General features: G+C 40.0%; 1 protein-coding gene across 1 annotated transcript in view, besides 4 other annotated features; it reads right to left on the bottom strand.

Annotated features, from left to right (window-relative positions):
* Positions 1-3,079: 3,079 nt before the first annotated feature.
* The window catches only part of SMIM13 (small integral membrane protein 13), a 44,900-nt gene continuing 24,095 nt past the window's right edge, over positions 3,080-23,884 (bottom strand). The window contains exon 2 of the mRNA NM_001135575.2: positions 3,080-7,410. Within this exon, the coding sequence (NP_001129047.1) occupies positions 7,211-7,410 (200 nt within the window). The 3' untranslated portion in view covers positions 3,080-7,210. The remainder of the gene's footprint in view (positions 7,411-23,884) is intronic.
* Positions 14,581-14,781: a silencer, noted in NCBI's record as "peak5657 fragment used in MPRA reporter construct". NCBI's record gives its function as "represses an SCP1 promoter by STARR-seq MPRAs in K562 erythroleukemia cells {active_cell/tissue: K562}" and the evidence as "EXISTENCE:reporter gene assay evidence [ECO:0000049][PMID:32103011]".
* Positions 14,581-15,107: a biological region, named in NCBI's record as "NANOG-H3K27ac hESC enhancer GRCh37_chr6:11126939-11127440".
* Positions 14,606-15,107: an enhancer, noted in NCBI's record as "NANOG-H3K27ac hESC enhancer chr6:11126939-11127440 (GRCh37/hg19 assembly coordinates)". NCBI's record gives its function as "activates a minimal SCP1, AML or CMV promoter by ChIP-STARR-seq in naive H9 embryonic stem cells {active_cell/tissue: H9 hESC(naive)}" and the evidence as "EXISTENCE:reporter gene assay evidence [ECO:0000049][PMID:30033119]".
* Positions 14,623-14,917: a silencer, noted in NCBI's record as "tiled region #3750; K562 Repressive non-DNase unmatched - State 16:ElonW". NCBI's record gives its function as "represses a minimal TATA promoter and a strong SV40 promoter by Sharpr-MPRA in K562 cells {active_cell/tissue: K562}" and the evidence as "EXISTENCE:reporter gene assay evidence [ECO:0000049][PMID:27701403]".

Below are 23,884 nucleotides of genomic sequence, written 5' to 3'. Positions count from 1 at the left end.
CATCTCTTGACCTCGTGATCTGCCCACCTTGGCCTCCCAAAGTGCTGGGATTACAGGCGTGAGCCACTGCCCCCAGCCTCTTTTTTTTTTTTTCTTTCTTTTTAAAAAAAGGTTTATTTGGCTCTTGACTTGACTGGCTGGAAGACTGGACATCTGGTGAGGAACTCAGGCTGCTTCCATTCATGGCAGAAGGTGAAGGGGAGCCTGCATGTGCAGGATTGCATGGAGAAGAGGAAGCAGGGGTTGGGGAGGAACTGCCAGGCTTTATTTAACAACTAGCTCTCTTGGGAACTAATACAGCAAGAACTCACTCGCTACTGAGAGAATGGCACCAAGCCTTTCGTGAGGGATCTTCCCCTATGATCCAAACACTTCCTGCTAGGCCCCACCACCAACACTGGGAATCAAATGTCAACATGAGGTTTAGCGGGGACAAATATCCACACTGTTAACAGCCTTAGTTCTTTTTGTGCTGCTATAACAGAATACCTGAGACTGGGTGATTTATAAAGGACAGAAATTTATTTCTCACAATTCTGGAGGCTGAGAAGTCCAAGATCAAGGTGCTGGCAGGTTCGGTCTCTGGTTCCAAGATGGCATCTCCTTGCTATATCCTCCGCAGAGGAAGAACACTGTGTCCTCATATGGAAGAAAAGAGAGCCCACACCTGCGGATCACCTGAGGTCAGGAGTTCGAGACCAGCCTGGCCAATGTGGTGAAACCCTGTCTCTACTAAAAATACAAAAATTAGCGGGGCATGGTGGAGGGCACCTGTAATCCCAGTTACTCGGGAGGCCGAGGCAGGAGAATCGCTTGAACCCGGGAGGCAGAGGTTGCAGTGAGCCAAGATCGTGCCACTGCTCTCCAGCCTGGGAGACAGAGTGAGACTCCATCTCAAAAAATAAAAAAAAGGGATCCCATGCCTGAAAGCCTTTTTTATAGTGACATTAATCCATTCATGAGATCAGGGCCCTCATGACCTGAACACCTCCCATTAGGCCCCACCTCCCAACCCTATTGCATAAAGTTTCCAACACATGAATTTTTGGAGGGAACAAAAACATTCAAACCACAGCAGTGTCACCTTGGGTCTCTTCTTATTCCACCCCCCTACCCTGGGGAATCCTATTTTTGCATACAGCTTCAAATGCATACACATAGTGATAACACTGAGTCTGTGTTTTCAATCCATGTCCCTCATACTATTTGTACAACTGGTTATTTCTGTCTACGTAATATCATATAAGCACCTGAAATTCAAATATGGTATGCCCAAAACTGGACTCCTATCTTCCACCTCCCTATGCCCAATCCCAAACCTACTTCTCTTGCTGTATGCATCCCCCCATGTTATCAACTGCTAAATGTTGAAATCATCCTTCATTTCTCCTTCTCCTTCACAATCTAATCTCAAGTCCTATTGATTTTTCATATCCTCAAATTTCCCATGGTCATTGCTCCTTTCCAGTCTGCCATTAGTTTTGTTTTCTTGCTTGGACCAGTTAAGAGACATCCTGTTTCCATCGTGCCTCCAACCAGTCCTCCTCCTTGCAGTTAGCACGAGCAACTAGTGCAGATGCCTGGAAGATTAGTCGACTACTCAACATATGTTAAATAAGCAAATCAGTGCTCTCTGTTTAAAATAGTTTAGTAGTCTCTGTCCCATATGACATGAACTTCAAAGCCTTTGCCACTGCACACAAAGTCTTTTTGTGACCTAGACTGTACATCTCTATTGTCAAAACAGTGGACCCCCACCCCCACCCCCGGACACGTGCATTCTCTATTTCAGGAATGACCAACTATCTATAGTTCTCCAAGCAAGGCACCTTCCCATGACACTGCCTGTGCACATTCTTTTATCTAGAATCCTCATCCTCTACTTGGAAAACTCCAACTCCTTTCTTCAAGATTCTTAGTGAAGCTTTTGCTGTCCTTCCCTCCTTCCTCCTCTAACCCCCACAAAGTTCTTTGTAAACAGCATCATTCTTACAATCCAGCTGAATTACTTACACAAGATAAACTAATGCACTTGTAGAGATGCCCAGGGGGTGGGAGGCCAGGATGAGGAAAGAGCATTCTCGAAGCTCCCCCAGAACATTCCTCTTCCATTTTCAGGAAGTTCCCTCCTCCTTTTAAGAGCCACCAGACATAACAGACCTTAAGATAAGTCTTCCAAGTCCCTGACATGGCCCCCAAGTCATAGTTACCTTCTCCATTCCAACTGTAGCCATCATGTGGAAAATATTAGTGGCCATTCTGAGGCTCACATCATATGCTTAAAATGAGTCACTGTTCTCAGATTCCCCTTTTCTATGGCTGTATTTAGTGTCATCACTCAGAACTACTTCACCTAATTTCCATCCCAAACTTATCATACACGTCACATTCATTTTATCTTCAATTCCCTATCCCTTTCCTTTCATCCAGTTTACCAGTGCCTTACTGATCCAACTTCTCTCATGACGCAGCCCAAATTCCAGGGCCAATCTCCAGCAATCTCTAATGACCCTGCCCTTCAGACACACCTGCCTTGCAAAATCCAACCCTAGCACAATCCACTTCTTCCCATCCTACATTCTTGGCAGCTGAGCACTCCTGGAGAAGTCACAACTTGCCCCAGCCAATGAAATTCATGGTTTTCTTTCTCAATTGCATTCTCAAAGAAACTCCTCCATCTTTTTACTTGGCTTTGATGAGTTTCTTCAATCTTCCTGGTGGTTAATACTAACAAAAATGTGAAACATGATCTGTGGCAAACAGGTTAACAAAACAACCTTGAGGGTGTTGAATACAGCATGGGAAGAAAACAATAAGGTAAATGTAATAATGTAGCTCTAACACTATATGTGTGTGTGTGTGTCTGTGTGTCCTTTAATGCTATATATATGTCCTAAGTCATTTACTTTCATGGCACTAAGAAATATTATTGCTATTCTCTTAATTCTTCTAGACTTTTCATTTGAAAAATGGGGTGAAGTGTGGACCATTAGTAAGAATGGCTGCTTTCAAATCCCTTCATGTCCAAGGCACCCTTCATACTTATTATCCTTTATCAACCAGAGACACATAACTTTTGTTGTTTTCAATTTAATTTATTCTATGCAGTTTAAAGTGAAAGTTAAAACATCATACAAACCACAGAAGCTTCATAGTACTGACCAGTTTTAAAACAAAAACAGTGAATGATCATTTACACACATTCCTCATCTTTAATTTTACATCTTGTTATATATACAAAGGTACTATTAAAACACGTAATTCTAATTATTTATAAACCTATTGTCAAGCAGCAAGATGGCAATGCATCATAGCAGACCACAGAATATTTCCTTCAAGGAATCACAGCAGCAGTATTTGGTGAATGGTTATGCATAGAACCAACTTGGAGGATCGTGTTAAACATTCCCCATAAAACAGGTAGCACATGTACACCAACAAATGAAAAATGTAACTTTAATTGACATAAGATAAAATGTTACTCTTTACACTTTAAGTTAAAAACTATAGGACACTTTAGAAGCAGACAATACAAGGTGCTTTAGTTCTAGACTTCACAACAGAACACTATTCCATTAGTCGCTTGAGAGTCCATAACCTCTGAGGACTGCTCAATGGCTTTTTAAAGTCAACCTCAAATATAAAAAGCACTTTAAGTTTACCAGTCAAAATCTAGTTATATCAGTTACATCTTACGTTACAACATACTACTTGAGAAAACTGACTTTTAAAAAAGACTGCATTGTTGACTAATTTCAAAGATTGCTGCTCTTAAAAGTAAAAATGCACCACTTTCAAATCTTTCAACATGTTTTAAGATATCATATTTTGTGAATCCATTACTTTATATATTCCAAACCTTCAGCAAAATAAAATTAAAATGGGTTTTAAACCTAATATCTCTAAAGAAATGGGTCTGCATGTCTGTGAAGTGGCTGTCCACCGCACAGCAATATGTTTGTTTCAACTGTGAAAACATCACTACAAAATCCATCAAGTGAATTTTATATTCATTTTGATGGAAATATCAAAAACCTCATTTAACAGCACTACACAAATATTTAGTGTTTTTGGCATTTAAATCAGAGCAACGCAACCAATGCAATTGGTACAGGCAATTTTCACAAAAAGTTTCAAAGGCAGAACAATTGGAAATGAATGGCTGGTTGGGAAGGAAATAAAACAACCTACCAGAGTCCTCAATTTTAGAATTAATCTTCAAAAGATGGCATGCTGATCACCATCATCCTTTGTGAGGGGTTAGACAAGATTCTAATACATGTATGTGTTTTTAATGCTTATAAACTTTTAAGCTCTAAAATTAACCACAGGCTAGTCCACCTCCCACTGAGACTGCAAATGTAGTTGTGATGCAGTTCCAGTAAGTTTTAGCTACAAAAGCACTAAAACAGGAAAACAAACACTATACCACATAAATAATTCTGCGTTCACTATCTTGCCTTTCTTAGTGGCATTAAGAAATATGTACCATGGTAAGTGTGTTGTGAGGTGCACGAAGAGAAAAAAGTTCTAAACAAAGGATTTGTTTATAGATCTTCATATTGGCATCAGTGATGTTTCTTTACCCTCCCTAAGTGAGAGTCTAAGAGCTAACTAGTATGCTTTTAGGTATATTTCACAAGTTAAATAGAGTATTTCTTAAAATTACATAAAATAAGACATGCTTGAAGCATAAATGTCAATAAATAATGCCAACATATATACCTCTACAAAGGTTAACCTGTATTAATTTGGGCATGACCCTTGTAGATTTCAGGGGCAGAGTTACATCAGCCATCATTCTTTAATAGTGACATAACAGGAAGCTCACCAGCTACTTTAAGTTTTCCAGCAACTATTATATAAACCTTAGGTATCCACCATAAAACAGAATCCATAGTTCAAAACAATAGACTATGAAAAATCTAATTTAAATATCCTCCCAGTACCAAATAATGCCCCCAAAAGTTTTTGGGGGCATTATTTTTTTTTCTGATAATCATTTTAAGATGATATTTAGCTAGTAGGAAGCATTAAAATTAACGCTTGAAACTGTCACTGTTTTGTTATGCCCTAGAGTCACATAAAAATAGAAAATTGTATCTAATAAAGAAATGAAGACAGAGACTGTGCCTTGCTCTCAGCTGCTAGGAAATCTTCCCCTAGCAAACACATAAAACTAAAGTTATGTTCTGTGAATTCTCTTTTAGTATCTCCAAGAGCTACAATATAGCAAAAAGGTGTTCATCACAAACATTGGGACAGAGCCAGTGAACTGTTAAACAAAACTCTAAGCAAGAAGTATGAGGTATCAAACATAATAACACACCATCATAAAATAGAGGTTAAATAGATATTTTGTGATGACTAGTCCTTAATAAAGGTTAAGAAAAACATAAAAAGAACTTGGATTAATAAAGTAAGTTGGCTTTGCACTTCATTCTTGTACAAAGCAGGTAACACTAAACAGGAAGGTTGTTTAATTCACATCTCTTCTCCCTGGTAAACACTCAGCCCAGAGTTCAGTTGAGACAAACACGGAAACCTGGCAAGAGAGTCATTTTACAGCTAAGCGGGAATTTTCACCCACTACTGTTTTCCTCAATACGCATTACCTTTGAGGTCTTGTCACTGAATTGTTTGTGAAGAAGTGTTTTTCTCCACAACACATTCCTTGAGCATAAAGTCCTCCTATACAAAGGGAGTAACTAATCCCACTCTTCCTAAAGTAGAAGATAGTTCTTAGATTCCTAAGTTACTACCCTGAAATCTTGGTTACCCCCTCCCCCCCAAAAACATGTGTTTCACACAGGATTACAAGTTTAACATTGTAAGAGTCAGAATCAAATTCCCCAATAAATAACTGCTATCTTAAAAAGAAAAATAAATTTACAAGCTACCATTTTTAATTTAACCTAAGACACTACCAATTGTTAAGATGCACCATATGTATCACTAAGAAAAAACACTGCCCATTAAACTATGACACAATGCTTTCATATCACAGAAAATGTTTATATTTATTGAAACAGCGCTTTGAGTTAAACAGATTTTTATCACATCAATCTTGTGCATATGTAAAGAAAATGTGTGAAATAAATTGGTTAAGTTATAATTATAACTTCATATTCTGAATCCAACTCTTCTGAATCACTTTTCAAACCACAGTCATTGATGTCTGCATTTTTCCACAGAACGTCTCTCCCGGTGTTGTCAAGAGTACTGGTTATGCAGCACTTCTTGAAAGAGTGCTCCAACACTGTCTTCTGTTTAATGGCAGTGGGGAGCTTGGGACAAAACGATGTTTGATGCCTTAATGATAGTCCTGCTCGACGCATGAATCGGTCACACCAGCCTCTTGTGGCTTTGAATTTTGTTTCATCAATTCCTAGGGTTTTGGCAACTTCTCCTGCCTTCAATTGCATTGCTTGGCGTGTGATAGGCAATCCTTTTGCACGTGTCTCACTGACGAAACGTAGTACAGCTTCATCTACTTGTGGGTACCTACCTTTCTTAGGTCCCGTAAAACATTTTGTTGTTGCTTTGCAGGAAAATATGGAATTGCGATCATTTCTCCAGCGACGAATATTTGCTTCACTAATATCAAATGTACGCCCTGCTGCTCTGTTTCCATGCTTTTCTGCATACACAATAACTTTTCGTTTCAATGCTGAATCATAGTGTGATCTTTTTGAAGACATTTTAAAATGTCAATTAAACCTGACACATTTGATACCAACAAAACACATGTTGGTTAAAGGGATGACACGATGACAAGCTGTAAATTCACACATGCACACGGTAGGAGCGTTACATGACTATCACCTGGTTGACAGTAATGAGATGCATCCCAATTTCAGATAAGTTAAAATGGGAAGAAAAATGTACATTTTAGGGCTAACAAAATATGGTTTTTCAAGCCTTTAATGTTTACCAGATCTGCACCAGTGCAAGAAAATAAGCCCAAAAGCCAAGGAATAAGTGTATAAGTAGAAAGCTGGTGAAACAAAAGATTATCTTTAAGATGAAATTTATAATAGTCCAATTTGGTTTCAGTTCCCTTTATTTTTATATGGCTTACATGTAAATCTTTTTTAAAATTCGACTTAAAATCCAATACAAATGTTCTTCAGTCATTAGTAAATTTCAAAGCGAAGTCAGTAAAAGACAGAAGCTGGCAACTGCCTTTTCATCCTTCACAAGTACAGGACTATGTCAGGGGTCTGTGGCCTTCATCAGCAGGTGCCCTCCTTTGGCGAGCGGATCTGATTCTGTGTGGAGAGGAGGAAGTGTCTTCTTCAGTTTCAGACCCTGAAGGCTCATGATCTCCCTCTTGGGATCCTGTGTCTCCCACCAGTTCCCGGAGAAACTTGAATTTTGATAAAAAAAGATGCCATACAAAATACCAACCTACAGAGAAAGACAAAAACATTAAGAAAAGTTATTACACACAATGTTATCAATTCAGAATGTTACAGTTAATGGGGGGTATATTACAAAATACTATATAAAAATATACATAATTACAAATATATAATGATATAACAAACATTTTTTGTACAAGGAATGAGGATAAACTCTGGGATTACAGTAATGACAAAAACAGTCTCTACCCTCATAGAATTTAGAATTCGGGCTGAGTCTATCTACAGTAAAATCATAATGAGTTTATGATATCTAAGTAAAAGTGTTACTTATACTAAAATCAAATTTTTGAGAGCATTTTTCTGGGAAAGAAAGAATTCACTTTGCCATTTACTTGGACTTTCATATCTCGGTGCTATTTATTTACTAAAAGCAAGTTTGTTTCGATCAGAATCCATAAGGCCTTAAACAGCAGGACTTAACTGCACTATGATGAAAACTACTCAGTCAGGACCAAGCTATTCGTAAGTTTCTGGAAATAATTTTTCAAAGAAAATACATTTTCTTAAATTATATGATGAAAGACTAAAGCCACGGCACCAATATCTTAGATTCAAGATGTTTAAAACACAGATTTTTAAAATACGATATTTTCACATCAATGTCATTAAAAAGTATGACTAATTCTCTTTTAACAAAAAAAAAAAAACAAGTTTTGTTTTTGCAAGGAGTAGTAAAGGTTTTTAAATGTTCGCTAATAAGGAACAAACATTAATCAATAAAGGAACACACAGGAGAAAACCTCTGAACCTATGCTTGGTTGCTCTAAAATGTTAAGAGCATAAAATTAACTAACTTAACCACGCTAACAAGGTTTTTCATGCTTACGTGTTTTCTTGATGCTGTCTACTTTAAAGACTCTGGTTGCATAGAATAGAAATGAAACACAGCATATTTTGTGAAAACAAAATACAACCAGCTTTTCTAGCCGTGTTAATCCAGGCCAAGATAAACAGATACGTAAGGGGAGTTTCTAATTTTACTTGTTTTTTTTCTTACTATCTCTGGAAAAAAAATTACTATAAACCCCTTGACACTAAAGACAAACTTCGGAGATTTAATCCATTTCTCAAGTTTTTGCTTTAAGCTTGAGTGCTGAGTGTTACCTGAACCAAATCACAAATATTTTTTGGTCAACTGTGTGTTTGAGTAAAGCACCCAACTTTGTAAAATATTATTTTAATGATATTCCAAATTAGCATCTTCTCTCTTTACCCAAAATTCTGTGTAAAACAGGCAGAGCGAATTAGTGGAAAGAACACCAAGGAAGAAGTCAGGAGTTCCAGTTCTGACAGAATATTCACAAAGCTATAGTGAGGAATGAATGAGAAGGTATCAAAAGGGCTTAGGTGCCTGGCATTAGGCATTTTCTAAAATGCTCAATTGATGTCAGTTGTGGTTGTCCATAGGCAGTGGGATCTGAGGTATCTTCTGTTGAGTTTTTAAATTGAGATGTAATTCGCATACCCTAAAATTCATCCTTTTAAAGTATACAATTCCGTGTTTTTTAGTATATCCACAAGATTGTACAACCGTCACCACTACTGAAGTCCAAAACATTTTCATCAACCCCAAGAGAAACCTCATACCCATTAACAGTCACTCCCCATCCCTGCTCCCACTTGCCCCTGGCAACCTCTAATCTACTCTCTGTCTCTATGGATTTGCCTATTCTGAACATGTCATTTTAATGGAATCATACAATACGTGGCCTCTGTGTCTGGTTTTTCAAACTCAGCCCATGTTTCCAAGGTGTGTCCATTGTGTTGTAAGCATCAGTACTTCATTTCTTTTTATGGTTGAATAATATTCAATTTTATGTATATATTACATTCTGTTTAAGGATTCATCAATTGATAGACATTTAGAAGTTTCTACTTTTGGCTATTATAAGAAACAAAGTTGCCACTTTTTGACTGCAATGAATATTTGTGTACAAGTTTCTCCATGGACATATGTTTTCATTTATCTCGGGTGTATCTATCTAGAAGGGAATTGCTGGGTCATATGGTAACTCTGTGTTTAAACACTTGTGAAACTGCAAAGCAGCTTCAACACTTTACATTCCCACCTGCAATGTATGAGGTTCCAATTTCTCTACATCCTCGCCAACACTTTTTATTGTCCATCTTTTTTATTACAGGACTCCTAGCAGGCATGATGGTATATCACGAAGCTTTGATTTGCATTTCCCTCATGACTAATGATGTTAAACATCTTTTCATGTTCTTATTAGCCATCTGTTATCTTCTTTGGAGAAATATCTATTCATTTCTTTTGCTCATTTTTTAAATTTAGTTGCTTGTCTTTTTATTATTGAGTTGTAAGAGTTCTTAGTATATTCTAGCTATTAGATGCTTATCAGGTATATGATTTGCAAATATTTTCTCCCATTCTGTGGGCCGGCTTTTCACTGTCTTGAAAAAGTCCTTTGAAGCACCTAAGTTTTTGATTTTAAGGAAGCCTAACGCATCATTTTTTCCTTTGTTTGCTTGTACTTTGGATGGCATATCTAGGAAACCACTGACCAATCCTACGTCATGAAGATTTACATCTATGTAGTTCTTCTAAGAGTTTATAGTTTTGCTCTTAGATGTAAGTCTTCAATCCAGTTTTGTTAATTTTGGTATAAGAGAGGGGTCCAAATTCATCCTTTTGCATGAGGAAATCAAGCTGTTCCAGGATCATTTGTTGAAAAGATTATTTTCCCCCACTATTATATTATCTTGGCACCTTTGTCAAAAAACAATTGGCCATAAATGTTACAGTTTATTTCTGGACTCTCAATTCCATCCCATTAACCTGTATATGCCTATCATTATTCTAGTTGCATACCATGTTGGTTACAGTAGCTTTATACTAAGTTTAAAAATCAGGAAATGTGAATACATCAATGTTCTTTTTCAAGATTGTTTTGACTATTCTGAGTCATTTCCATGGGAATTTTAGAATCATCTTATCGATTTCAGTAAAAAAAAAAAAAAATGGCATCAAGAATTTTGACAGGGACTGCATTTAATCTGCAGATCAATTTGGAGACCCACCTTGTTTTTTTAAAAAAATATATTTCTCTGTACTTACCAAATTTTTCCACAATGAACAAAACATGGCTTTGGTAATTGGGATAAATAAGAAAGAAACTGGTAAGATAAATCATGAATAGTCTGTAGACTTATATTTTGTAAATACCTCAATGCCATTAATTGGCCTAAATTAACATGGTCAATTGACTTCAACAAATACTAAGGAAAACTTCTCTTAACTCTTAGGTTAGACTCAAAAATGTAACTTAAAAGAACTCACTTGATCACTTGTAATATCTTGTAATATTACAAGAACTCACTTGTAATATCTAAACAGATATTACAGTGGTAAATTTACTATCAGAGAATTATAATCTTTCTAAAAACTGATAGTTTTGATTTCATTAAAACCAAAGATTCCAACAGTGGCTACAATGTATAAAATGACCATAAAGAAGAGTGAGGAAGTCTTTTGACTGAAAAGGCTATGATAAAGGGCCTCACCAGTGGGGTTCCTGCCATAAAGTACTATAGTGCTCTTGGGATGGTTAAGAAAGAGTAAGTCTCTCAGCACAGAAATCTACAAGGTAAGGAACTAAGGACAGCTGTAGCTTTCAGAGGCTTGGAATACAAGAGCATTCAGCTAGATCACAGACTCTCTCTTCCCCAATTTTAGTAAGAGGAATCAAAAAAATATTTTTGGTAATCACTGCCAGCAGCCAATGTAAGGGATTCAATCTCAAGTCAAAATTCAGAACCAGAATGTGGTATCAATGAGAAAAACTCTAGAGTTTGGAGAGGCAAGTTATGGCTACTATCACCACTCCCCTCCCCACCCTGGCCAGCTGAGCCACTCCAATTCCACACTGCTGTAATTTTTATCCTCAAATCTGGAGAGAGGTAAGCTTGAACAGTATGCATTTTTCTCCCAATTCTGTCTGGGTATAGGCTGTGTGAGGGCTGGGGGAAAACATGTAGTAGTTACACTGTTTCTCACAAAACACTGTGAGGTATGGAATTCCCCTAATATAACTAGGGAGCTCATCTACTGGGCAGCCAAAAAGAATAAACACCCAGTTGTTGTTGTTGTTGTTGTTTTTTTTTTTTTTTTACAATGACTACTGTAATGATAGGTTGGGAGTACAAAGGAAAGAGATAAATTGTAGTTTAGATAAGAATTGCAGTAAATTCACTAAATTGAGGAAAGTTCAACAAGTTGTCCTCCAAGTAAAATGACTAAGTTCTTACAGAGGTGTAATTTTGGGGACAGACAGGAGGAGGACAGGAAGACAGGGTGTTTCCATATCATAATACTTAGGACTAGTAAGATCTGATACTTCTACCACAGGCTGTTTATCAAAGAGTGTTCATAGTCTGAACAAAGGATGAGACTAAAAATGCCAGGTAGTCTCAATGGGAAAACGACACATGACACATCTGTTTTGAGGGAAAAAACCATTATTAAAGCCCCAAGGAATACATACCAGGAAAAGTATGACTGAGCAAAGAATAAACTAAGAAAGGTATTACTGTGCCAGATACAACTGCCAATAAGCTATTCAACTGCTATGTTAGATATGACAATAATAACAACTAGGAGGCATCACACTACCTGAATTAAAAATATACCAAAAAGCTAGAGCAACCAACACAGCATGGCACTAATAAAAAAACAGACACATAGACAAACGGAACACAATAGGGAATCCAGAAATAAATCCATGTATTAACTGATTTTTGACACAGCCACCAAGAACATTTAAGTTCCTCAAAAAACTAAAAACAGATTTACCATATGATCCAGCAGTTCTACTGTTGGTTTATACATCCAAAAGAAAGGAAATCAGTATATTCAAGAGATATCTGCATACATGCTCATGTTTATTGCAGAACTATTCACAATAGCAAAATATGAAATCAACCTAAGTGCCAGCAATGGATGAATGGATAAAGAAAATGTGGCACAGATACATAATAGAATACTATTCCGCCATAAAGAATAAAATCCTGTCATTGGCAGCAACATGGATGGAGCTGGAGGTTATTATGTTAAGTGAAATAAGTCAGACACAGAAAGACAAATATCACATCATCTCACTCATCTGTGGCAGCTAAAAAAGTTGATCTAACAGAGATAGAGTAGAATGATGGTTATCGGAGTCCGGGAAGTGTTGAGGTGGGGAGCGGATGAAAAGAGGTTGATTAGTGGGTATAAAAATACAATTAGAGAGGAGGGAGGCAGAGGAAGATGGCCAAACAGAAGCCTCCAGTGATCATCCCCCCCCCGCTCCCGGTAGCAATGCCAAATTGAACAACTATCCACACAAAAAAGCACCTCCATAAAAATCAAAAATCAGGTGAACGATCACAGTACCTGGTTTTAACATCATATTAATAAAAGAGGCACTGAAGAGGGTAGGAAAGATAGTCTTGAAATGCCTACGCTACCCTCCCTCCCCTGCCAGCAGCAGTCACATGCCATGGAAAGAGAATCTGTATGCCTGGGGGAGGGACAGCACAGTGATTATTATGGGACTCTGCACTGAAACTCAGTGCTGTCCTGTCATAGGAGAAAGCAAGACAGGACAGAACTCAGTCTGTACCCACAGAGGGAGCAGCTAGACCAGTCCTAACCATAGGGAAATTGCCCACCCCAGCAACTGGAACCTGAGTTCCAGCAAGCCCTACCACCATGGGCTAAAGTGCTCTGGGGACCTCAATAAACTTGAAAGGGAATCTAAGCCACAAGGACTAAAATTCCTAGACAAGTCCTGGTGCTGTGCTAGGATGGGCTTGGAGCCAGTGGACTTAGAGGGCACACAACCTAGTGAGACACCACCTGGGGCAACCAAAGGAATGCTTGCATTACCCCTCCTCAACTACAAGCAGTACAGCTCACAGGTCGGGGAGACACTTCTTCCCTCTGTTTGAGGAGAGGAGAGTAGACAGTGAAGAGGACTTTGTCTTGCAACTTGGGTATCAGCTTAGCCATACTAGAATAGGGCACCAAGCAGAGTCATGAGGTTGCCATTCCAGGCCCTAGCTCCCAGCTGACATTTCCAGATACACCCTGGGCCAGATAGGAACCTGCTGCCTTGAATGGAAAGACCCAGTCCTAGCAGGATGCATTGCCTGCTTAGTAGACAGCCCTTGGGCCCCAAATAGTCAACAGTGGTAGCCAAACAGTACTTACTGAGGGCCTTGAGTGAGACTCAGAGCCATGTTGGCCTCAGATGTGACCCAGCACATTCTGAGCTGTGGTGGCTATGCGGAGAAACTCTTACTCAAGGAAAGGAGAGAAAAGAGTAAAGAGAACTTTGTCTTGCAGCTTGGGTACCAGCTCAGCTACAGTGGGATAGAATACCAAGCAGCCTCCTGATGTCCCCAATTCCAGGCCTTGGCTCCTAGATGGCATTTCTGGACCTGCTCTGGGCCAGAGGGAAGCCCACTGTCCTGAAGGAGAGACTAAGTCCTGACAGCATTCACCACAAGCTAACTGAGTGATATGGCTTGGCTGTGTCCCCACCCAAATCTCACCACAAGCTGAGTTAGATATGGTTTGGCTGTGTCCCCACACAAATACTCCTATAATTCCCACGTGTTGTGGGAGGGACCCAGTGGGAGATAATTGAATCATGGGGAGCAGTTTCCCCCATACTGTTCTCCTGGTAGTGAATAAGTCTCACGAGATCTGATGGTTTTATCAGAGGTTTCCACTTTTGCGTCTTCCTCATTCTCTCTTTGCCTGCTGCCATCCGTGTAAGACAGGACTTGCTCCTCCTTGCCTTCCACCATAATTGTGAGTCTTCCCCAGCCACGTGGAACTGTAAATCCAATTAAACCTCTTTCTTTTGTAAATTGCCCAGTCTCAGGTATGTCTTTATCAGCAGCATGAAAGTGGACTAATACACTGAACCTTGAGTGAACACTGGTGGCTGGAAGACAGTAGTCCCTGTGGGCCTAGGGCAGCTGTGGCCACAAGGAAACAGTTCTCTGTTTGAGGAAAGGGAAGACTGGGAGGGATTTTGTCTTACAGCTTCGGTGCCAGCTTAGCTGCAGTAGAATAGAGAGCACCAGGTAAATTTGTAAGTTTCCCAACTCCTGGCTCTGGCTCCCAGACAGCTAGGGGAGAACTCACCCCACCCTAATGGGAAGGACAGAAGCCTGACTAGATTCACCACCTGCTGATTGTAGAGCCCTTGGGCCTTGAGCAAACGTAAGTGGCAGCCAGGCAGTGGTCACCATGAGCTTCAATCAAGACCCATTGTTATGCTGGCTTCGAGTCTGACTCAGCACAGTCCCAGCAGTGGTGGCCACAGGGGTGACTATGTTATCCCTTCCCCAGCTCCAGGCAGCTCAGCACAGAGAGACTCCATTTGTTTGGGGGAAAGTAAGGGAAGAGAACAAGAGTTTCTGCTTGCTAACCCAGAGAATTCTTCTGGATCTTACCCAAGACAACCAAGGTGGTGACTCTACAAGTCTGCAAGAGCCACGGCATAACTGGGCTTGGGATGCTTCCCAATGCAAACATGGCTACAGTGAACAAAGACTTAGGTCACAATGCCCAAGTCCCTTCCAAAACTTGGAAAGCATTCCCAAGAAGGATAGGTACAAACAAGCCCAGATTGTGAAGACCATAATAAACACCTAACTCTGCAATGCCCAGACACCAATAAACATCCAGAAGTATCAAGACCATCCAGGAAAACACGACCTCACCAAATGAACTACATAAGGCATCAGAGACCACTCCCAGAGATATGTGACCTTTCAGAGAGAGGATTCAAAATAGCTGTTTTGAGGAGGCTCAACAAAATTAAAGAGAATGAATTTGAAACCTATCAGATAAATTTAACAAAAAGATTGAAATAATTTTTTTAAATCAAGCAGAAATTCTGGAGCTGAAACTTTCAACTGACATACTGAGGAATGCATCAGAGTCTCTCCACAGCAGAACTGATCAAGCAAAAGAAAATTAGTGACCTTGAAGACAGGCTATTTGAAAATACGCAGCCAGGGCTGGGCGCCATGGCTCACGCCTATAATCCCAGCACTTTGGGAAGCCGAGGCAGGCAGATCACGAGGTCAGGAGTTTGAGACCAGCCTGGCCAACATAGTGAAATCCCGCCCCTACTAAAAATACAAAAATTAGCTGGGTGTGGTGGCACGCACCTGTAGTCCCAGATACTCGGGAGGCTGAGGCAGGAGAATTGCTTGAACCCGGGAGGCGGAGGTTGTGGTGAGCCGAGATGGTGCCACTGCACTCCAGCCTGGGCAACAGAGCGAGACTCCATCTCAAAATAAATAAATAAAATAAATGAAAATATGCAGTCAGAGGAGACAAAAGAAAAAAGAATAAAGTACATCTATAAGATCTAGAGAATAGCCTCAGAAGGGCTAATCTGAGAATTACAGGCCTTAAAGAGGAGGTAGAGAGAGAGATTAGGGTACAAAGTTTATTTAAAGAGATAACAGAGAATTTCTCAAACGTAGAGAAAAGTATCAATACTCAAGTACAAGAAAGTTATAGAACACCAAGCAGATTTAACCCAAAGAAGACTCCTCAAGGCATTTAATGATCAAACTCCCAAAGGTAAGGGACAAAGAAAGGATCCTAAAAGCAGCAAGAGAAAAGAAACAAGTAAGATACTCAAAAGCTTGAACATGTCTGGCAATCAATCTCTCAGTGGAAACCTTACAGGTCAGGAGAGGGTGGCATGGCATTTTGTTGTTGTTGTTGTTGTTGTTTTGTCTTTTGTTTTGAGACGGGGTCTCGCTCTGTCACCCAGGCTGGAGTCTGGAGTGCAATGGCACGATCTCAGCTCACTGCAACCTCTACTTCCCAGGTTCAAGCAATTCTCCTGCCTCAGACTCCCGAGTAGCTGAGATTACAGGTGTGCACTACCATGCCCAGCTAATTTTTGTATTTTTAGTAGAGACGGGGTTTCACCATGTTGGCCAGGCTGGTCTCAAACTCCTGATTTCAAGGGATCCACCCGCCTTGGCCTCCCAAAGTGCTGGAATTACAGGCGTGAGCCACCACACCAGGCCTTTTTTTTTTTTTTTTTTTAAGATGGAGTCTCACTCTGTTGCCCAGACTGGAGTGCAGTAGCGCAATCTCGACTCACTGCAACCTCTGCCTCCCTGCAACCTCCACCTCCCGGGTTCAAGTGATTCTCCTGACTCAGCCTCCGAAGTAGCTGGCCTTACGGGCGCACACCACCATGCCCAGCTGATTTTTGTATTTTTAGTAGAGATGGGGTTTCACCATGTTGGCCAGGCTGGTCTCGAACTCCTGACCTCAGGTGATCCACTGGCCTCAGCCTCCCAAAATGCTGGGATTACAGGCGTGAGCCACCACGCCCGGCCATGGCATGGCATATTTAAAATGCTAAAGGAAAAAAATTTACCCTAGAACAGTTTATCGAGCAAAAATATCCTTCAAACATGAAGGAGAAATCAAGACTTTCCCGCTAGGGGATTTAGTCAACACCAAACCTGTCCTACAAGTGATAAAAGGAGTTCTTCAACCTGAAAGAAAAGGACATTACTGATAAGAAACCACCTGAAGGTATATAAAAAGGTGCTCAACATCACTGATCATCAGAGAAATGCAAAACGAAACTACAATGAGATATCATCTCACCCAGTTAAAATGGCTTTTATCCAAAGGATAGACAATAACGATTGCTGGTGAGAATGTGGAGAAAAAAGGAACCCTTGTACAGTGCTGGTGGAAACACTGTGTACATAAATTAGTAACACCACTATGGAGAACAATTCGGAGGTTCCTTTAAAAATCTAAAAATAAAACCACCATATGATCCAGCAATCCCACTGCTAGGTATTTCCCCACCTACCCCCCTAAAAAAAGGAAATCGATATACTGAAGAGATACCTACATTCCCATGTTTACTGCAGTACTATTCACAATAGTCAAGATTTGGAAGCAACCTAGGTGTCCATCAACAGACAAATGGATTTTAAAAATGTGGTACATACACACAATGGAATCCTATTCAGCCAAAGAAAAGAATGAGATCCTGTCACTTGCAATAACATGGATGAAACTGGAGGATGTTAAATAAAATAAGCCAAGCACAGAAAGACAAACTTTGCGTGTTCTCACTTATTTGTAGGAGCTAAGAATTAAAACAACTGAACTTATAGAAAGTAGAATGATAGCTCCCAGAGGCTGGGAACGGTACTGAAGGGGCAGGGAGTGGGAATGGTTAATGGGTACAAAAACATATTTAGATAGAATGAATAAGATCTAGTATTTGACAGCACATCAGGGTGATTACAGTCAACAATAACTTACTGTACATTTATAAAAATAACTAAAAGAAAATAAAAGAATTATAATGCAAAGGATAAATGCTTGAGGTAGTGAATACCCCATTTATCCTGATGTGATTATTATGCATTGCATGCCCGTATCAAAATATCTCATGTACCCCATATATGTACCTACTATGTACCCACAAAAATAAAAAATACATACAATAATGTATTGTATATTTCAAAATAGCTAGAAGATTTGAAATGTTTCCAACACAAAGAAATGATAAATGTTTGAGGTGATGGATATGCTAAATACCCTGCTTTGATCATGGTAAATTATATGTATGTATTGAAATATCATATATACTCCATAAATATGTATGATTATTATGTAACAATAAAAATAATAACAGCTAACTTTTAAAACTCTGGGATAAGAACTGTAAGAAAATGCTTTGCACATATCATCTAATGGCCAAATTGTTATTCAGTTTAACTAAACTGTTCTGTCATACACTTCTGGTATGCCACACTCCTTGCTGCTAATAGGGCTCAAAATCTATTCATCTATGGTATTGGTAATCATCTTATGACAAATATAACACGAAATAGAAAGTCACACACATAGTTCATCTCTTGTTATTTTAATAAAGCAGCTTTTAGTTCAAGTTAGAAAATTCCAAAGACTTAGCTTAAACAAAAAAAGGGGAATTTACTAAAAGCTACAGAGGTGTCTGAGAGAGCACGGGAGGAAGCGCCCTTACGAGGGACAAGCACTAGGAGAAGGTTCTCGTGAACTGAGGTCATTTGCTCAGCATTATCTGTTTCTCTCTGCACAGCGGCTCCATTTTCCTCTACGCTTCTCTCTGTAGATTGCTCCTCCTCCCCCCAGCTTTCTAAAACACAAACCTAGAAAAAACACAACGTAGAATCTCTGCCCTAAACTGAATTCAAGTGTCAGCCCCAGGAGCAGGTACAGTGAACATGGATATAGGGCCTATCCCTGAGAGGACATGGATGTTTTTATTTATTTACTGTAGAGATAGGGTCTTGCTTTGTTGCCCAGACTGGTCTCAAACTCCTGGTTCAAGTGATTCTCCCGCCTTGGCCTCTCAAGGTGCTGGGATTACAGGTGTGAGCTGCCACTCCCAGCTGACATGGGTGTTTTTTGAGATTTAAGAGGGGAGTAGAGGGAACAGCCTGGAAAAAGATCCCCAGTAATGATATCTCCTCTACCTTTATTAGACAATAGGCTCTTGGAGGACAGCCTCTATCACAGGAGCCACCCCAAAAAAAAACCCAGACAGGCAATTATTTTGTTAGATAATGTCTAACCAAAACTTTTAATCTTCTTGGAATCTGCCTCAATTCCTTTAAAACACAGGCCTGACCTTTGATAAAGGTCCACACTGCAAAAAGTCCTCCACCTCTAGAGCAGAGGAACTACTTAGTCAGGGCAAGGTGGGGTCACAAGAAGATAGGCCTGACCTTTGGTCCATACTGCAAAAAGGTCACAGGCCTGATCTTTGGTCCACACTGCAAAAAGGTCACAGGCCTGACCTTTGGTCCATACTGCAAAAAGGTCACAGGCCTGACTTTTGGTCCACACTGCAAAAAGTCCTCCACCTCTAGGGCAGAGGAACCACTCAAAGTCGGAGCAAGGTAGGGTCACAAGAGGATAGGATTCATATTTTCCCTTTCAGGGAAAGGAACACCTGTAAAAGTAAGGCAAGTTCAGAATTATTATCCAGTGGAACGATTCTAGTTAAAGGTATGTGATTATCACACTGCACCTTTCATAAGAGGGATCATTCGAACTTCAAAATCTGCTGAGGAGTTTTTAGAAAACACAGATTGCCAAGAGCTCATCCCAGATATCCCAAAATCAATCTCCAGGGATTGTGCTTATTCATTTTTTTTAAGCTCCCTAGAATGATTGCGATGGACATGCAGCCTTGGAAAAGACAAAAAGCAGTGAAAAAGAAGCATGAGTGCTGCTGCCAGTGAATTGTGGAGACTGGCCAAGGAAAAGAAGAAAAAGATTAGCAGTGGGGTGCCCATGGGGGATAGACAGAACAACAGTTGACTACAGAACCTGAGAAGACTCCACTTGAGAAAAGGCAGCTTAATGCAAAAATCAGTATTTACTAGTGAGACGGTGTAGGTATGTATGTAAGGGGAGCAACAAAGAAACTGGCCAGACATTGCTGATGAGTGGAGCAATGCTGCAGGAGGACCATGGATATGATGACCAACATAATGGATAGTCAGAAGTGGACATAAAGAATGACTGTATCTTGCTCCAAGTAGAATTGTATTATGTCTGGTTAATAGAATGTTTAATACAGCACTTATGCATTCAGAACTCGTTCTCTTTTATACAATGAGTGGAAGAGAAGACAAGTGCAAAGTTATGTAATAGAAAATAAAGCATCACCCTTTACATGATATTGGTAAGAGAGCACCAAATAACAGCAGAGGGGTGTGTATGCAGGTGTGTGTGTTGGGAGGGGGAGAGGCACCTGTATAACCATAAATATAGACCAACCTAATCCGGACTCTGGGCCCTAATGACTAACTTCTCCCAGGTGAGCATATGTATTTTGGGGGACAGGGGAATGAAGGAAGTAAAACCACTAAAACCCAGGCAGCCTTCTTCTGAAAAAGACTTACCCATTGCACCCTGCATGCCTACAGCGGACTTCTAACAGAAGTATAGCTTATACAATTCCCAGACCCAAAGTGCACATATCAGAAACTTCTTAACTCTTATTCTATGGGCATGGGTCTGGAACCATGTCCTGGGATTTAGTAAGACAGAAACAGTAGAGAGTGAAAGAAGAAAGGAGAGGTGAGGGGCAAAGTACAGTCCACAATATACTGATTGTTAAGATGGGTTTTGCAGTTTTTCAGCTTAAAAGGAAGTTTATGTCTTGCTTCAGTATCGCATTGTATGCCAGAATAACTAATCAGCAATAGAGGGTGTGTATTCTGAGATAGGCAAAAGAGCACTCACTTCTGTGTGCCAATAACTAAGCATTTGTTCAAATGATGAATTTCATGAAACACACTGTAAATTGTTTTCTATGTAAGATAAACATGCTGGCAGCAGAAGGGTTGTGATAGATGAACTTGAGTGATGAACCATCACTATCAACACACCACAAACCCAGGGGAGAAGTGTAATTTCACCTTCAATTACACAGTTATCAGTTCACACAGTGCTTTTACATTCAATCACTGTGCTTTTACACGACCCATCTGAATGAGACCAGCAATCATTATTCCCATTTTCTAAATAAGAAAATAAAGGCACACAGTGACTCATGACATTGGAAGACAGCCAGCTACATAAGACAGAGCAATGAATCTTAACAGCGTATCAAATTTCTCAGATTTTCATGGTGACAGTATGACTGAAACACAAAGCACTATCTAGAGAATGAGAATACGATTTTGCTACTTGCTGTAGTCTGAATGTTTGTGTGCTCCCAAAATTCATATATTGAAATTTAATCCCCAATGTGACAGTATTTGCAGGTGGAGCCTCTGGGAGGTGATTAGGTCATAGGGTGGAGTCCTCATGAATGGGATTAATGCATTTATTAAAATAACACCCCAGAGAGCTCCCTCACTCCTTCCCCTTCTGCCATGTTTGGACACAGTGAGAAGACAGACATCTATGAACCAGGAAGCAGGCCCTCACCAGACATTAAATCTGCCAGTACCTTGATCTTGGATTTCCCAGCCCTCTAGAACCATGAGAAATAAACTTCCGTTGTTTATAAGCCACCTGGTCTATGGTATTTCTGTTACAGCAGCCCAAACCGATTAAGACACACTACCCAAGGTATTTTCAGTCCAAAAGCCCAGGTGCAGTATAACTACAAATTCTGATCTTTGTAAATTGTGGAATCATTCCAGTGGAGTTATATAATCTCACCTTCATGATAGTATCTAAGTAGCTAGTTGACTGGCTCACTACCAATTTCACATTTATAAAAAGCTCTTTTCCATTTTCAATCTTATTACCTTATTTCCATTTTATTCTGAAGGCAGCAAAGGCTCATCTATGAGACAGTATGTCCAAATCCTAAATGTAGACTAAACCAAGTAAGCCAAGCTCTTCTAATTCTTAAAATTCTCCCTCTATTGTACACACCCCTTTCTCAATGACACACTAGGCAATGCTAGAAGTTATTAAGCCCCTGGAGTTACCACTATCAAATCAATACAAATTTGAATCATAGTACCTCCAAATCCAAAGCTTTTCTATCCAATAATCATAAGACATTTCAAGTTACCTTTTAAAATCTCTTCTCTCCTCTTTCTGTTCTCTTCTTCTTCTTCTGGTGATCACAACACTGCCATGGATCCAAATATCATCGTTATTATAGATGATGAGGACCAAATTTTCTGTTTTTTTGGAGATGGAGTCTCGCTCTGTCGTCCAGGCTGGAGTGCAGTGGCACGATCTGGGCTCACTGCAAGCTCCGCCTCCCGGGTTCACACCATTCTCCTGCCTCTGCCTCCCGAGTAGCTGGGACAACAGGGGCCCGCCACCACGCCTGGCTAATTTTTTGTGTTTTTAGTAGAGACGGAGGTTCACCGTGTTAGCCAGGATGGTCTCGATCTCCTGACCTCGTGATTCGCCTGTCTCGGCTTCCCAAAGTGCTGGGATTACAGGCGTGAGCCACCGAGCCCGGCCCGAGGACCAAATTTTCATCCATACTTTCCACCTTTCCTGAACCTCAAGAGGGAATTTCTACCTGGCTAGTTTGAAGACATCTCAAAAACAGTGAGTGAGTGAGAGAGAGAAAGAGAGAGAGGAGAGAGTGCACGCGCATGTGTCTGCTGTCTGTCTCCATCCAACAGCTCTTTGGGAGAACTACATTCTCTCCCCATCTCTATGGCAGAAAAGAGTTCTTCTTCAGCATTTTGTTCCCACTTTATCTTATCCCAGTGCTATAGATTCTATTTTAATAAACCCTCTCACATCTGTTTCCTTCTCTACACTCCTAGTGTCATTCTCTATCCTAGATCACATCCTTGTATCTATCAACTGGATTGTCCCCATAATTTCTTATATCTCAGAGGCATGTTAGACTGCAATGTTCTTCCATGAATCCTAACTCAGTAACTTATTTCCGACTTCGGCAAGTTAACCTCTATGTGCTTCAGTTTCCTGTTCTATAAAATGTGAATAACAGTACCCATTCTCAAAGGGTATGTGGTAATTAAAAGTTAATACATGTAACAAGCTAAAGTGAATGCCTAAAACATAATAAGTACTCATCAAATATTAGCTCTGTTACCATCTCATAGGCTCCAACCTCCTCCCCTCTAAGGCAAAGAATACAGATATGAGACTACTACCACTGTAACTAAGAATTTTAAGTATTATTAATATATAACTTTTAGATCGTTCTACAATACTATTACCTCAATATGACCTATTTTGGGTAATTGCTTTAGCACCTCATGCTCACTTTCATCCTGCATAGTACTGACCACCTTCCCTATGAGAAACAAGTTTCTTAAGGAAACGAAACGTATGGTTTAATCAGTTTTCCAGTGTGTTCACTATGCCTTAAAGTAGCACCTGGCACAAAGTAGATACTCAAAACAAATCAACTATTATTCTCCCTGTCCCAACCCCACTCCCAAAACTATCAAGATTTAATTAATTTGACCAATTGATTCATTACAGAGCTCAATGTCTGCTCTGAAGAGTCCTACTATATAACATAGTAGCTACTGTATAGCAAAAGCTGCTGGTGCCCTTTCACAAAAGTACCAAACAACCCTCAACCAAACTGACCTGAGATGTACAGAACATTTCAATCAATAGCAGAAAAAAACATTCCTTTTGATTATATATGGGACGTTCACAAAGGCAAACCATATACTGGCCATAGGTGGTGGTTCATGCCTTTAAACCCAGCACTTTAGAAGGCTGAGGTGGGCAGATGACCTGAGGTCAGGAGTTCGAGACCAGCCTAGCCAACATGGCGAAACCCCATCTCTACTAAAAATACAAAAATTGGCCAGGAATGGTGGCATGCACCTGTAATCCCAGCACTTTGGGAGGCCGAGGCGGGCGGGTCACCTGAGGTCAGGAGTTCGAGACCAGCCTGGCCAACATGGTGAAA

This window comes from Homo sapiens, chromosome 6 (assembly GCF_000001405.40).
Source record: "Homo sapiens chromosome 6, GRCh38.p14 Primary Assembly".
Classification (NCBI taxonomy): Eukaryota; Metazoa; Chordata; class Mammalia; order Primates; family Hominidae; genus Homo; species Homo sapiens.
Note: the sequence above shows the minus strand (reverse complement) of the source record. Positions and strands in the feature narration are given on the sequence as shown.